Below are 13816 nucleotides of genomic sequence, written 5' to 3'. Positions count from 1 at the left end.
GGCGGGGGAGTCTCAGGCATGGCGGGCTGCAGGTCCGAGCCCTGCCCTGCCGGGAGGCAGCTAAGGCTCGGCGAGAATTCGAGCACAGCAGTTGGCCCAGGTGCTAAGCCCCTCACTGCCCGGGCTTGCCGGCCGGCCGGCTGCTCCGAGTGCGGGCCCGCCGAGCCCACGCCCACCCGGAACTGGCGCTGGCCCGCAAGCGCGGCGCGCAGCCCCGGTTCCCGCCCGCGCCTCTCCCTCCACACGTCCCGGGAAGCTGAGGGAGCCGCCTCCGGCCTTGGCCAGCCCAGAAAGGGGCTCCCACAGTGCAGCCGGGGGCTGAAGGACTCTTCGAGCGCGGCCAGAGTGGGCGCCGAGACCGAGGAGGCGCCAAGAGCGAGCCAGGGCTGCGACCACAGCCAGCACGCTGTCACCTCTCAGCACCATCCCCCATCATACTGTCCTCACCATAGTAAGTGAATTCTCCTGAGGTCTTTCTTTGAAAGTGTGTAGCTCCTCCCCCTCACTGTCTTGCTCCTGCTTTCACCATGTGATATGCAAGCTCCTGCTTTGCTTTCTGCTATGATTGTAAGCTTTCAGATCTTCCTGTACAGCTTGCAGAACTGTGAGCCAATGAAAACTCTTTTATTTATAAATGACACAATCTCAGATATTTCTTTATAGCCATGCAAGAACGGCCCAATACAGTGATGATGTGTCAATGTAGGCTTATCAATTGAAACAAATGTGCCACTCTGGTGGGGGATGTGGATAATGAGGGAGCCTATGCATGTGTGGGGGAAGAGGGGACATGGGACATCTTTGTACTTTCCTCTCTATTCTGCTGTGAACCTAAAACTGCTCTAAGAAATTGTTTTTTAAAAATAGCTATCAATTAGTTAATATAAGTCACATGTCTAGAATTTACCTAATTCTATGAGTGAATAATAATAGTGGATTCAACACATTGAACGTTTACTAAGCGCCAGCCATTTAAATAAGTAATTTGCATCTGAAACTAATTTCATCTTTCAGCTCCTCTCCTGGGTAGGTATTATTATTACCGTATCAGTTTTATGGATAAAGGAGTCAAGTGTATAAAGGCCAAGTAAGTTGCCAAGAAAGATTTTAGTGTGCCCACTTCACAGCTGGGAAAACTGAGCCTAAAGAGAAATAAAAGCTCTTAACTACTCTTTGTTTCCTTTCCCTGTATTCTCTAACTCTAGTTAACACAGAAAACTGTATTTGCTTCTGTTTTTTGCTTTGAGATTCTGCTTTTTATGTGATGTTTAGTAACAGGCTAAGTTATTACATCTGAAGTGAATAGAAATAAGTCCAATTTGGCTCATGTTCCAAAACAAAATGGATAAGGGCAGATTCTATGCGGGTCATTTATGGACATATGCGGCTATATTGTTTTCTGAATGGACATGGAAACCATGATGATTATGATCTTTTGAAAAATTCATGATTGAAACAGATCCAAGTTAATTATGAGATGTGCCTTATGAGGTTGTGTGTAGGAATCATCAAGGAAAAGAAAGAACAGAAGGTCACAGAATTCGTATCCGTGCAAGCATATGGATCAGTGTCTAAACGCACACACACACACACACACACAGACATTTCCACACATCTGGCTTGATTCACAAAGAATCAGGAAATTCAGTTGAAACACAAACCATTTTTATTTGTGTACTGTCTGGAGAAATATCATGGAATGTTATGGAAACAAAACCGCAAGCAGGGCCATAGGGCCGCTCAATTAAGATCAAATAAGTAGCAGTGCCCAACCCCTGTGTAGGTAATTAAGACCCAGGGTCCGAATCCTCTGCCATCCCCATGTCTTCCCTTTTCATTTAGGACGAGTAACTGGGATAGGAAGATGACAGAGATTCAGACTGCGCTCTTATTATGACAGAGACAATAACTTTTTGTACAATGTCCAAAAAGAAATGGAAAAGATTTTTTTTTATTGTGGTTATGGGCTAGACCCTTGACTTTTTATTTCGATGAATCACACATGTGGTTTTCTCTATGGGTACAGAGTGTTTAGAACACTCTGGAAAATCAGTTTTAACAAGACTTCAGTGTGGCTACATTATCCTGCACATAGTAGGCACTCAATAATATTTATGGATCACTTATTTGACAAAATAATTCTTCAACAAATATATATTGAGTTTTTAACAGATGCCAGGGACTTTACTAGGCTCATGGGACACAACAACAACAAAGAGAGCACTCTTTTCTCTGATGAAGACTATGTTCTACTAAACAGGACATAAACAAATATGTAAAATATGTAATGTGTCAAATGGTGATTAACTGCTCTGGTAGGCTGAATAATGGGCCCCAAAGATGTCCACTTCCTAATCCCTGAACCTATAAATATGTTCCCTTATTTGCCACAAGAGACTTTACGGATGTAACTAAGTTAAGAATTTTGAGGTGGAGAGTTTACCTGGATTATCCAGGTGGGCCCAACATAATCTAAAGGGTCCTTATAAGAAGGAGAGGTGATGATGGAAGCAGAAGTAAGAGTGATGTAAGCCCACCAGCCAAGGGATGCAGGAAGCCAATGGAAGCTGGGAAAGGCTGGAATCAAATTCTCCCCTATGGCGCCCAGAAGGGATGCAGCCCTGTTTACACCTTGATTTTAGCCTAGTGAAACGGATTTCAGATTTCAAACTTACAGAACTGTAAGGAAATAAATTTGTGTTGTTGGAAGCCACTAAGTTTGTGATAATTTGTTACAGCAGCAACAGGAGACTAATACAAATGCTCTGGGGAAAATAAAGGAAAGGGAGTAGACGGTGTTGAGGTGGAAGAGGCTGAGGGCTGAGAGTGGTTGCAACTTAAAATAAAATGAGTAGGGAAGGTGTGCCAGATTGTAATGTCTAAAGATGGCAACATGATATCACCCATCCCACATGCTTTCCTCACAGTGTGACTTTGAAACTTCTCCCATTAGATGGTGGGTTGGGGGAGGAGTGGGGTTCTCTGTTCCTCTCCTTCCATCTGTGTGCGTTTATGGCTCTGGTGAAAGAGATACTGTGTCACTTCTGAGGCTGGGTCATAAAAGGTGATACAGCATCTGCCTGCTGCTCTTTGAGACATACTCTTGGAACTCAGCCACCATGCAGCCAGGAAGCCCACAGAGCTATGGAGAGGCCACATATAGGTGTTCTGGTTGAGGTATCCACTGACACAATTGCTAGACTTGTGAGTGAGTCAGTTTTCAACTCCCAGCTGTGATGTCACCCTCAGCTATTCTCACTGTGCCCTTGCTGAGTTCCTAACCCACAGAATCCTTGAACATATAAGAATGATTGTTTTTTTAACAACTGAGTTTTGAGGACATTTGTTATGGCACAAAAGTAACTGGAACAGAAGGCCATATTGAGAGGGCGACATTTAAGCAAAACCCTAAAGGTAGTAAGGGAGCCATCACAATGTCTAGTGAAAGATTATTCAAGGTAGGAGAAAATGTAACTGCAAAAGCCCTAATGGGAAGGAAGGCCTTGTGTACCTGGTATGAATCAGGAACAGTTAGGGGGCTGTTGCAGAAATATAGATTGTGTAGGGGCTTGTAGACCATGGGAAGAATTTGGGCCTTTCCTCTGAGTGAAATTGGAAAGTTCTGAGTGGGATGGGGGATGATCTGACTCAGATTTATGGAGCATCAATTCAACTGCTACATTCAGAATGGACTGTAGTGGGGCAAGGGTGGGAGCATGGAGACCAAGAAGGAGGATATTTTTCTAATCAAAGGGAGAAACTTGGACTAGGATGGTAACAATATGAATGGTAAAACATTTGGGAATATTTTGAAATAGAGTCAACAGGTAGTTAGGATATGTATTTTTAAGAGTGCGATATTGTGATAGATTGGATATGAGTGAGAGAAAGAGAATGATTGTAAAATTGGCTTAAACAGCTGAAAGAATAGACTTGCCACTTACGAGATGGAGGACTGCTAATGGACAGACTCAGAGAAAATCACAAGTTCAGTTTTGGGCATAATAAGCTTGAGATGCCCATTAGACATCTAAGAGCAGGCTGTTGGATGCACAAGTTTGACACTCAAGAAGGTGTATAGGCTGGAGACATACATGTATACAATAAGACTCAGCTTTGAGATTGGTCGAGATCACCAAGGACATGATTGAAAAGAGAGGAGGTTCAAGCACTCTGATGTTTAAAGGTCGGGGAGATGAAAGGAGCAAGCAACAGAGACTGAAACATTATATAGCCCAAAAGGTAGGAGGAAGACCGGGAAGGTGTGGTTTCCTGGAAGGCTATTAAGGACAGTATTTCAAGGAGGAGGGAGTGACCAGCAATGTCAAGTGATGAGGTTAAACAAGGTGAGAACCGAGAAGTTGCCGTTGTCTTTAGCAACGTTGGAGTCGCAAGTATCCTTCATAAACCCAATCTCATTGGTTGTGGTGGTAGAGAATGAATGAATGAATGTTAATCAGATTTCATGAGGGTATTTTTTCTTTGAAAGAATATGGAACATTTTCCTGTTACAGCACAAGACAAAGGACGGGAAAGTATGCTGAGATGTCCAAAGCATTAGCTGGAGTACATTCAGATGTTGTTAAGCTCAGTGCTCTGGACACAATGTTACTGGAAGGGTTCAGAGCTTCCAGGGCTGGACTGTGGTGAAAATTATAAAGTCCTAAGCAAGCATAAGGCATATCCTTTGTTTGTTGCCAATTAAATACATCTCAAACTTCCTTCCAAGATGAAGATAATTCACTTCCTGGTTAGAAATGCAGCCTCTGAATTCGTCTGTCTATATGTGAATCTTGATTCTAACTGTTAGCCGAGTGCGTGGCTTATTTAAATCTCAAATTCCTCATGGGTAAAACGAGGCTAATAATGGTATACACCACATAGGATGATGTAAGGATTGGATTATATTTAACATGAACAGTGTCTGATGTGTGGTAAACTTTCAGTGACTGTTAGCTCTTATTACTATTAATTACGTAAAATGGGGGGAGAAGAGAAGTCTTTTGTTTTGGCTCAAGGTAAATCAGTGCTACACAAATAAATATTTAATAAGCCGATCTTCATAAGGGTAACTCTGTCTGTTTAGCTGGTTTAGCTGTAATGGGGATTGTCTGTAGTTGCAAGAGTTTACAGCCTCAGGTAACTCCATGCATCCTTCATTATGTTAGAATCAAACTAGTAAAGAGGGGTTGCCATTTTTAACCTTAGTATTTTATTGTCAGGATCAAAACACACAATAAAAGAACTTTATAAACTTTATAAAGTATTATGAGGTTGTAAGTCCGTGTTGGTTTATGACCACGACATTGCAACTTTGGTGTGGACCCTCTGGAGTCCAACTGTCCCAGGCTTTGACCACTACTGCCCTCCCCCAAAACCTACCACTAATACACATGCACACTTAGAATGGGCTATTTTGGTGCTGGGAATTCATACATGATCACACTCCAAAAGGAGCAGATGAAAAATGCTTGAGAAGGCTAAAAAGGAACACTCAGAACTGAAAAACCGTTCCTTAAAAATCTCAAAAGTCTGAGTTGTTGTCAAATTTGGTATCCCTAACACGTCCATGTGATGTGATCTGGACCTATATGAAAGTATACATTTCCCTGATGAAATAATGAAAAGGGAATGATAAATGCAGCAAATAGAGAATCCTGACTCAACTTCCGCACATGGAAACAATTGTCTAAATTATGGCAAAACGTGGCAATCCCACACCGGCCTCATTATTTACTTGAGAACAAAATCATAGAACACAGCAAAATCATCCTCGTGCAAGTTTTGCTGCTCACTTTTCTAAATTACTATGTGCATGCTGTAGTATTTGGGATTAAAAGCTTCACTCTCCTCTCCTCCCACCCCGCAAAAAATCAGGTCCTTAATACCAAAGTAAAGCACAAGACTATTATCTCAGTGATTCAAATAAATTCTTTGAATTCTTGCCTTAGTATCTTTGCTTTTTACAGAAAAACCTTCTGTGGTTGACAGAAAAAAATATGAATGAATACGAAGGATGAATCTAAAAAGCATCTACCAGCTTGGCAGGAGACTGGCAGAAACCCCAGTATCCCAGTCCTTGCTGCCATATGTGCAAAGAAACTTGGGAAACATTCTCCTCTAAGCCTTTGTTACTCAAAGTGTAGATAATGGACCGGAAGCACCAGCATCACCTGGAGGCCTGCTGGAAACGCCTAACTTCAGGTCCTACCCCAGGCCTTCTGAGTTGGAATCTGCATTTTAACAACATCCCTGGGTAATTCGTATGCATACTGAAGTTTGAGAAGCAATTTCTAAGAAACTCGCAGCAGTTCAGGTGGAGGGGAGCTTCCAAACTGCTTGTTCAGCTTAGTGTGAGCCTACATTTTTAAAACTCATCTTAGATCCATGCAGGTGACTGACAGCATTGAGGACAAGTGTACAATGAGCCTCATACCATTATGCAGAAATGTTCCTCCTTACCCATTAAAAAGGTTCAAAAGATACTGTGCTGTAGATATTCCACATAATGACCTTCCAAATTTCTTGGCACCAGTCACCTTCTAAGAGACTCTGGTGCCTGCACATATTAAATTAAACCTCCTCTCTTTGCAAACTGTCAGTTCTCTGCTACTGACTTTTGAGCTATGCCCCATAAATGAGGTTATTGGAGAAAATACATCAGGTATAACATGGACAAACTGTAGACAGATGCTTAAGGAAGTAAGAAGATTAAGGTACCTTCGAGAAACTGGCCTAATTATCAACTGTGGTATAGTTTCTGAGTCATTGAAATTCTGTTTTTCATATGTTCTGATAGTGTAGGGGAGAAAAACAGAAATCTGCTTTAAGATGTGATTCACAAACACACAGCTGTTGCCTTAACTATAGGGTCATGCACATATTTTTCTTGTCTTTCAGGTGTTTTCTGAGGATGCATTAAGTAGAATTTCAATGAGTTGGAGAGCTCTATCCAATGTATAAATTAAACTTAAAGCTTCTCAAAGCAAGTTCAAGCCAAATTGCCCTCCTCCGCTTATTTGAGGCAGTTACTAAGGAAGCAATGGAAATTACGCTTTTTAAGCCAGTCTTTTATAAATCAGGTGTTTCCACACTTCTTGAAGTGAAATAGAAAGCCAATTGGAAAACATAATAGCAAAAGACACTGCTCCCAAACTGTCGGCAGACTTTAGAGTGAGTATAATGTTTGACAGGAAAGATTGTGTGTGAACATTATTCATTGCACCAAGAACCACCCAAAGGCACCTTCCGAGCAAAGATTAATGAAAGAGCATTCTCAGGAAGTAACATAATACAGAATCTCTTCCTCTTCTCCACCCACTTCTCCTTTGGGGAGATCCAGATTTAGTTTGGGATAAAATTTAGAATTCTGAAGGTGTGATGAAAGGCAAGTCATAGTCTACAAGGCTATTACAGCGTGAGGGTCTCACCTCTGGACATATGGTATGGCATTGCTTAACCCAATTCAGGTATCCCTTAGGAGACTGAGAAGATTGCATTGATGAGGAGCTAGATATTCAGTGTCCCGTCTACACGGAAAACTAATACCCCAACATTAATGGGATTAATGATGCTCAGTTTGATTTTAGTTTGTTGTTCTCCTGGTGCCACTCTGAATTCATCAAATTTTCAAACGTCAGACCCACCTTCTTGACACTCTTATTAATATTCTTTGCCTGTCAGAATTGATCATGGGCTCTTTGAAGAGTCAGTGCAGAGTTATTCCTTAAGATAAAAACATAGAAGAAAGACTGATTTCATTTGTCAGTCTACACTTACAAGCAGCTGAGATTTTCCTTTGAAATATGGAACTTTAAAAATCTTTCTAAGTTCTGTGGCTGAGGAATCATGTCCCTAGGCATTCTAGAAACTCACCTCCTTGAAAAAGTGGCTTGGTGATCTAAGAATGGGAGGCTCCAAGTTTTCAGAACTGAATGCTCCCTGACTGCCAGCTAAATAGTGAGGGTCATTTTCCAGTCAACAATGAAGTTTGTAAACTTGTAGACACTTTTTAGAATTGAAGTGTACATTTACTGTGATTCAGCCTAAAGAAGGCTTCCACTGGAAGTATGTTAACTACTCACACTTTGAACTTGGTGGTTCTCAATTTTGTTGAGCATTAGGATTCCATTTTAAAGTATTTTTAGAAAAGATTTTTTATGTGGAAATAATTTTAAACTTACAGAAAATTTGCAAGAATGAGAAAATAAAGAACTATACTTACCTGGATTCATTTATTGTGAACATTTTATCTCATTTACTTTATCATTTATGTCCTGCTTCACTCTCTTTCCCAATATAATATTTTTATGAACCATTTAAAGATGTTACATACATCATGACCTTAATCTTTAAATGTTTCAGTGTATATTTCCTAAGAATAGGGGATATTCTTATGTAAAACCACTGATACAGTGATACATCGATACAATGCCTTTTAGTTAATCTATATCATACTTAATGGATCCAGCAATGCCTTTTGTAGCACATTTCTCCCTTCTAGTATAGGATCCAGGCTAGGCTAAGGTACCGCATTTAGTCGTCATCTCTCCTTTAACTTGGAACATTTTTACAGCCTTTCTTAGTATTGTATAATATTAACATTTTTGGAGAATATAGTCCCCACCCCTATTTTTAATAGAATGTTCCATATTTTTAGTTTTGCTGTTTGCATTCATGATTAGATTCAGGTTTTGCATTGTTGGCTTGACTGGAGCACTACATAGATGATGTGTCAGTCAGGATTTCTCTGTCTAAGTAAAAAGATAATTTGCTAGCTATCATGTGATCTGAATTTTTCTTTTATTTATTTGATTCATAGACAGTGCTTCAAGCAGTTCATGGTGCACGGATATCAATACCAAGGGAGGACTCTAAATGCCTGTCCACTGCACCTTGAGCTGCGCCAATTTTATCACTTGAGTGAGTCCAGTGAGATAGAACGCTTGCACACAGGTTAAGGGAAGCAACTTTATAGATAGGCAGTGAGGGACAGTAGAAGCCTAGAATTCATGGTGAGCCAGTCCCTTGAGGCTCAGAAAAGCTGTGCAGGGCAACTGGAATCTCATCTGCATGTGCACTACTTGGACCACAGTGGAGGAATGTGGAAAAGCATCCAGCCTTGGGTTTTATACCCCAGGGTAATTAGACTTGCTGGGCTCAAGTGTTGTAGGACACCCTGTTCTAGAAGGGACAGAAACAGAGCCCAAGCTCTTCCAGCCAATTCATCCTTATCTCAGGTTGTTGCATTCCCTGCACATTCTACAATTATTCTTGAGAACAAGTGAGAAAGGGGAAGGTTTGAGGCCACCCAGAGAGCTGTCCTGCAAGTGTTTAGTGTGCCTGTGGATATGTGACTACTTTGAAAATTCCATGTGTTAGTGGCCCATTGAATGCTGTGTTTTCTGCATTTAATCTTGCTTTTTTTTTTTTTTTTTTTTTTTTTGAGAAGAAGTCTCGCCCTGTTGCCAGGTTGGAGTGCAGTGGCACAATCTTGACTCTCTGCAACCTCCACCTCCTGAGTTCAAGTGATTTCTCTTGCCTCAGCCTCCCGAATAGCTGTGATTACAGGTGTGTGCCACCACGCCTGGCTAATTTTTGTGTTTTTAGTGGAGATGGGGTTTCACCATGTTGTCCAGGCTGTTCTCAAACTCCTGGCCTCAAGTGATCCACCTGTTTCAGCGTCCCAAAGCACTGGGATTACAGGCGTGAGCTGCTGGTGCCTGGCCCTGCATTTAATCTTGTTATTAATTCAGAAAATTAGAAAGGAATATGTCCAGATGTTATCTTTGTTCCTTATGTTGACATTTTAGAAGGTAGATGCAGGAAATGTTCATTTGAAGAATGCCTTTGTATATTTTGTAACCAATAACACTATACATTATATTTCTCAAAGCCCCCTTTAGTAAAATCCAGTGATACTTATTTCTAGTATAGCTTGCTTCTATAAAATAACTTAAAGATTTCCTTTTATTGAATAATTAGGAGGTGAAGGTTTCAATGAGATTTTTCTTTCCTCTTGGTTTTCAGAAAGTTTGGGGGCAAAGTTATGTGCCTAATTATTCTAATTCAACTAGAATATATGTAATCTTTCTAAAGTGTTTTCTGAATTTAAAAACTTTTATGTTAAATCGCTCTGCCATATTTCAATATCATGAGACTCATGGCTTGGAAGGCAGAGTGTGGGTTGGATTGGGTTGGATTTCAGTCTCACTTGTGTGTCTCCTCTGACACCTTTGTGTAGACACAATGAAGCTTAGCCCTGGCCAATATCCCCATCTCCTGTTTTTTATTTAGAGAAAGGGTCTCATTCGTTGTCCAAGCTGGAGTGCAGTGGTGTGATCATAGCTCATTGCAGCCTTGAACTCCTGGGCTCAAGCGAGCCTCCAGCCTCAGCCTCCCAGGCAACAAGAAGTACAGGCCTGAGATATGACACCTGGCTAGTTTTTAAAATTTTTATAGAGATGGGGATCTCACTATGTTGCCCAGGCTGGCCTCAAACACCTGGCTTCAAGTGATCCTCTTGCCTCTGCCTCCCAAAAGGGTGGGATTACCAGTGTGAGCCACAGTGCCCAGCCTCAATTCTCCTTTTAATCTCTGTGGCTGTTTGCCATATTGCATATCTTCAGTCTTAGGGCAAGTCCTGGTATTGGTCTACACAAGGCGCTTGCTGGCCCCTTTCCAACCATTGGGCCAGAGATGTGGATTTAGCTTGGCCTGATGATCTTCAAATGTCACTCATTTCCCAGCAGGTGAGCTGTCTCCTTTACACTGTCAGGGACGGGTGCTCCTGGGTGATTTTGTCCCTCCCTGCTTCACCTTTGGTTGCCTTCTGTTCCTTGGTTAATTCACATAAACTTACACGCACACGTGCACATTATGTGCGCAATGCTTTTCGTTTTCTTTTTTTGAGACAGAGTCTCGCTCTATTGCCCAGACTGGAGTGCAGTGGCGCAATCTCAGCTCCCGGATTCAAGCAATTCTCCTGTCTCAGCCTCCTGAGTAGCTGGAATTACAGGTGTCTGCCACCACACCCAGCTAATTTTTTTCGTTTTAGTAGAGAGGGGGTTTTGCCATGTTGGCCAAGCTGGTCTCAAACTCCTGACCTCAGGTGATCCACCTGCATTGGCCTTGCAAAGTGCTGGGATTACAGGCATGAGCCACCGCGCCCAGCTGGGTTGTGAACAATGCTTTCACAGTGCTTTTCATGGATAAGTAACATTTGTGTTTTATTCTCTTTATTTCCTCCTTTCTCTTTCCTAGAAGAGGTCACAGCCTTTGTACTTCTTGCTTCAGGGTTATTTGAAGAGCTGAAAGCAGAAACTGCTTGAAACAACTTCTCTTTCTGGCTTTCCTGAAAGTCTGTGAAAACTAAGCAAGTGTGTCCCCTGACAAGGAAGAGACTGGAGAAGAGTAGGCCAAAGACTGTCAGAGAGGGTGAACATTCTGTAAAGCAGGGCAAGGTCCACAGTCTCTCTTGTTCCCCTCTGGGAAGTAGCAGGGGTTTTGTTTTGTTTTGTTTTGTTTTGTTTTGTTTTGTTTAAGGGAAATGCCCTCTGTGCCTAGGGAGACTGACCCCAGGCACTGGAGCCCCAGAACCTGTAGTTTTGCACCCAAATATGGCATAGAAGGAACATGCCCTTGGATAGGTTTTGTTTTTACGTTTTATTAAAAAATGATCATATAAAAATCTTTTTAAATAATAAAAAATAAAAATTATTTTATAGTAAAATCAACTGTTTTGTTCAGATCTATACATTTTAACATAGATTAATGTGTCCTAGAGATTCATGTAATCAAGATACAGAACAGTTCCGTCACCCTCTCAAAGCCCCCTTTTGCCCCTTTACAGTCACAGCCTGCCCCCACCCGTAACCCCTAGAAACCATTGATTCGTTTTCCATCACTATAGTTCTGTCTTACAGAGAATATCAAATAAATGGAATAATACAGTGTGTATCCTTTTGAGACTGACTCCTCTCACTTAGCATGTCTTTGAGATTCATCCATGTTGTGTGCATCGCTAGCTATTTCTTTTTATGGCTGAGTAGTATTCCATAGTATGGATGCACCACAGTCTGTTTATCCCCTCCCCCTTTGAAGGGCATTTGGGTTGTTTCCAGCTTTTGATGAGCACACATAAAGTTGCTATAAACATTCATCCACAGATTTTGGTGTGAACATAAGATTTTATTTCATGGTAATTATCCAGGATTAGAATTTCTGGTCATATGCCCTCCTGTTTAAGTTTATAAAAAATTGCCACACTTTTCCAGAGCTGCTGCACCATTTTACGTTTCCATCAGCAACGTATGAGGGTTCCAGTTGTTCTGCAGCCTCAACTGTACTTGGTATCTCAGTAATTTCCTATTATTGCCATTGTAATAGGCGTGTAGTGTTATCTCTTAGTGGTTTTAATTTGTATTTCCTTAATAAAGCCCCTGGATTTAAGGACTCATGTGGTCTCTGACAGTGAATTTATTAGTAGTTGCTAGTATGGGGCAGATATGGGGATGGCCTCACAGATATTTTGTTGTAATGACTCTGAGGGTGGGGAGTGAAGAAAAAGGTCTGATAATAAGCAAGAATTAAATTCTCTACAATGGGGTCAGTGGATGGGGTTTCTAAGTCAGATTTAAATAAAATAAAATAATATGACAGCTCTTGCAAGCCCAATTGTGATGAAAAGTCATGCCCATTTCATGTGCCTTATAGATATTTCAAATCTATGTAGTCATAACTTAGTACATCCTATGTTGTGGTACATCATATGCTTGATTGCATTTGTATCACTTGATTATGAAAACCTTAGCGAAGGATTTTAAAAGGATTGCAAAGAGAATTGCCAACACAAGTATGTACCAGAATTCTGGCTGGACATATAATATTTCTGTGGATTTAGCACAACGGAGAAAAACTGCAAACTAAGTATAATAAAAACGGTGAGCATATAGGCCCTACTGTTGGTTTGTCAGTGTTGAAATAATTAAAGAAGGCTACCCGTCAATACCTAACTGATACAGACAACCCAGTCTCAAAGGTGCTAGAACTAAGAAATGGTCAAATGTGAGTATTTTAGTAAGTAAGCCAAATGTCTCTCTTCTCCTGGCCCCTAACCGTTAATGGTCTCTAACACTCTACTTTCAAGTATTCATTCTCTACATTCTCTTCCTTGGGGCTCTGTGAACCTCCATTGTGGGAATATCTGCTGTTTCATGATTCAGGAGCCTCTTATTGTGTAAGGAAGAACGTGTCCGGTCTTCGTCCCAGGTTCCTGGCACAGAGCTTCTAAAACCCTTGGAATTTGCCAAGTGGTAGAACAGTCTTTGTTATTCATGAATCCCCTGGATCCCACCTGAGTTTATGCTAATGAGATGACTCAAAGTGAGCCCCTAGGTAGCTTCAGGATGGGGACTAGTCATTGGAAAGACCAGCCAGCCATGTGATGAGAGGGTTGGAACATTGAGCCAGTTCAACCTCTGAGAAAAGGAGAGCCAGAGATTGAGTTACATCCTTGGCCAGTGATTTAATCACTCATGCCTGTGTAATGCTATACCAATTAAAAAAACAACTCTGGACACTGAAGCTCAGCGGAGCTTCCTGATTGGTGAATACATTTTCATTTTATTTTATTTTATTTTATTTTATTTTATTTTTGAGACGAGGTCTCACTGTTGCTCAGGCTAGAATGAAATGGTGCCTTCATAGCTCACTGCAGCCTCAAACTCTTGGGCTCAAGGCATCCTCCCACCTCAGCCTCCCACATAGCTAGGACTACAGGCTTGAGTCACTGTGCTCCAGGCCATGATTGGTGAAC

The 13816-nt window shown here is 41.4% G+C and overlaps 1 long non-coding RNA gene across 2 annotated transcripts in view; it reads left to right on the top strand.

The window, feature by feature from the left end:
- Positions 1 to 223: 223 nt before the first annotated feature.
- LOC124906112 (uncharacterized) overlaps positions 224 to 13816 on the top strand; it is a 204201-nt gene continuing 190608 nt past the window's right edge. For both annotated transcript variants that reach the window (XR_007088012.1, XR_007088015.1), the window contains exon 1: positions 224 to 451. This is a non-coding gene — a long non-coding RNA (uncharacterized LOC124906112). The remainder of the gene's footprint in view (positions 452 to 13816) is intronic.

This window comes from Homo sapiens, chromosome 2 (assembly GCF_000001405.40).
Source record: "Homo sapiens chromosome 2, GRCh38.p14 Primary Assembly".
Lineage (NCBI taxonomy): Eukaryota > Metazoa > Chordata > Mammalia > Primates > Hominidae > Homo > Homo sapiens.
The sequence above is the reverse complement of the archived record's forward strand: the minus strand, read 5'-3'. Positions and strand labels throughout refer to the sequence as shown.